The following is a 2,155-nucleotide window of genomic DNA, read 5'->3' as shown; positions in this document are numbered from 1 at the left end:
TCCTGATATATTCTCTGCAAATAGAATATTCATGAGCCTCCTCCTGAAACCAGCAGCCTAGAGATAATTTTATAAATTGGATACAAGTTGGAAATCTATAAGTTTTTGAAATATTAGCTTCCCAGGGAAGAAAATCAAATTCATAACATGTTAGCACAATTTAACTCAAGATGTTCAAAACTGAAATGACATATTCTACAATATGTGATAAAACCACCCGCTAACAACTTAAAGCAAAACACGGATTGACCTTAAAGACCTGCCTTTTCCTCATCCCCCAGCCAATCAGTTTTCAAACCTTGCATTTTATTTTGAAAGGTCCTTATACCCCTAGTCTCTTGTTTCTAGACTTGGCACATATTTAACTTTGTTACCTCTATCTACTGACTTTCCTCTCTTCAAACAGTATCTATGCCTGCCAAATGTGAACATACAAAAAACAAATCAGAATGTGCCATTCTGATTTAAACTGCTTATTAGTTAATACCCTCAAGATAACATCTGGGTTCTTAGCTGCACTGAGTCAAGCCTACTTACATCTTTTTTTTTTTTGTCTTCAGCTTCACTGTTCCTATCACATCACACCCCAGCAATGCCAAGCTGTGCGGGCCTTCTACCCCATTTCCACTATTTTGCCCCCGCCGCCGCGGCTTTTTGCTCCCCGCCGCCGCGGCTTTTTGCTCCACGCCGCCGCGGCTTATCGCCCGCGCCTCCGCGGCTTTTTGCAGCTTTTTACCCCCGCTGCCGCTGCTTTTTGCGGCTTTTTGTCAGCGCCACCGCTGCTTTTTGCCCCCGCCGCCCCGGCTTTTTGCCCCCGCCGCCGCGGCTTTTTGCTCCCAGCCGTCACGGCTTTTTGCCGCCGCGGCTTTTTGCGTCTTTTCGCCCCCTACTCTGCGGCTTTTTGCCGCCGCGACTTTTTCCACGGCCGCCGCGGCTTCTTCCCCCGCCGCCGCTCCTTTTTGCCCCCGCCGCCGCACCTTTTTCCCGCCGCGGCTTTTTGCCCCCGCCGCCCAGGATTTTTGTCCCCGCCGCCGCGGCTCTGAGGGCGGGAGCGGCAGACTCGGCTGCCAGCTCTACTGGCGTCCTGGCAAGGGCCCCTGGTCCAGCTCTCCTGGCTCAGGGGTTCCTTGCCTAGGCGCCTGCGCCCCGGGCTCCCTGCCTAGGCCGCTGTGGCCTGCATAGAGTGGCGCTGCGCGCGGAGGCGATGGGAGAGAAGAAGGAGGGCGGTGGTGGGGGTGATGCGGGAGCTGCGGAGGGTGGCTCAGGGGTCGCTCCCAGCCGGGTGCTGCAGCAGTGCGGGCAGCTCCAGAAGCTCATTGTCATCTTCATTGGCAGCCTGTGCGGGCTGTGCACCAAGTGCGCTGTGTCCAATGACCTCACCCAGCAGGAGATACGGACCCTGGAGGTAAGGGGTTCGGGGACCCAGGCTGGGCTCCAGGAGTGGCCTGGACACCTCCCTCAGGGCCCCAGTTCACTCCTGGCTGAGTTGCATCCTTGAGCCCGCGTCACCCCCTTGGAGGCTTCCCCTCCCTCCTGCACTCGCTGATGCAGCAGCCAGAGGACCCAGGACCAGCCCTCACCTTGGGCAGGATTTGTGGGGCGGGTGCGTGGTGGGAACTGGGATGGAGGCTCCAGGGTCCCGTGGGGGCGGGGGTGGGCTGCGCGCGGATATCCCCTTACCCCCTGAATTTCCATCTGATCCAGCCCTCTCATCTTGTAAGGTGAGGAAACTGAAGGCCTGAGGGAGAACTGACTTGCCAGGAACCCCTGTTAAGGAGAATTAACAAAGTGTGGTTATTAAAGAAGAACTGAGTTGGGAGTCAGACCTGGAGGCCCGCACCCTTGGTTAAGACATTATACCACCGTGAGTATGGCCTGTTGACTGAGGGTGAGCCACTCCATCCTCGTCTGATTGTGGGGTCTTGACCTCAAGGGGTTCCCTGCAGGAAGAAGCAAATGGGTTTGCTTTCCTAGCTCTGTCCAGTACCTTAGGGACCCTGAGGACTGAAGAGATTCTTGGAGAGCCATCTGGTGTATGTCATGGGTGGGCCTTTTTTGAAGGTCAGTCTGCCCAGTGGGCTGGCTCAGCCCAAATGAACTGTCTTGAATCTTTGCAGTTGTCTGTGTACTTTTAAGGGCTTCTCAGCCTTGCACC

At 55.1% G+C, this 2,155-nt stretch overlaps 1 pseudogene; it reads right to left on the bottom strand.

Annotated features, from left to right (window-relative positions):
- Window positions 1-697: 697 nt before the first annotated feature.
- LOC112268217 (histone H1, gonadal-like) lies at window positions 698-1,713 on the bottom strand (annotated as a pseudogene).
- Between the last annotated feature and the right edge of the window lie 442 nt (window positions 1,714-2,155).

The sequence above is a fragment of the Homo sapiens genome, chromosome 18 (assembly GCF_000001405.40).
Source record: "Homo sapiens chromosome 18, GRCh38.p14 Primary Assembly".
Lineage (NCBI taxonomy): Eukaryota > Metazoa > Chordata > Mammalia > Primates > Hominidae > Homo > Homo sapiens.
This window is presented reverse-complemented; position numbering and strand designations above follow the sequence as displayed.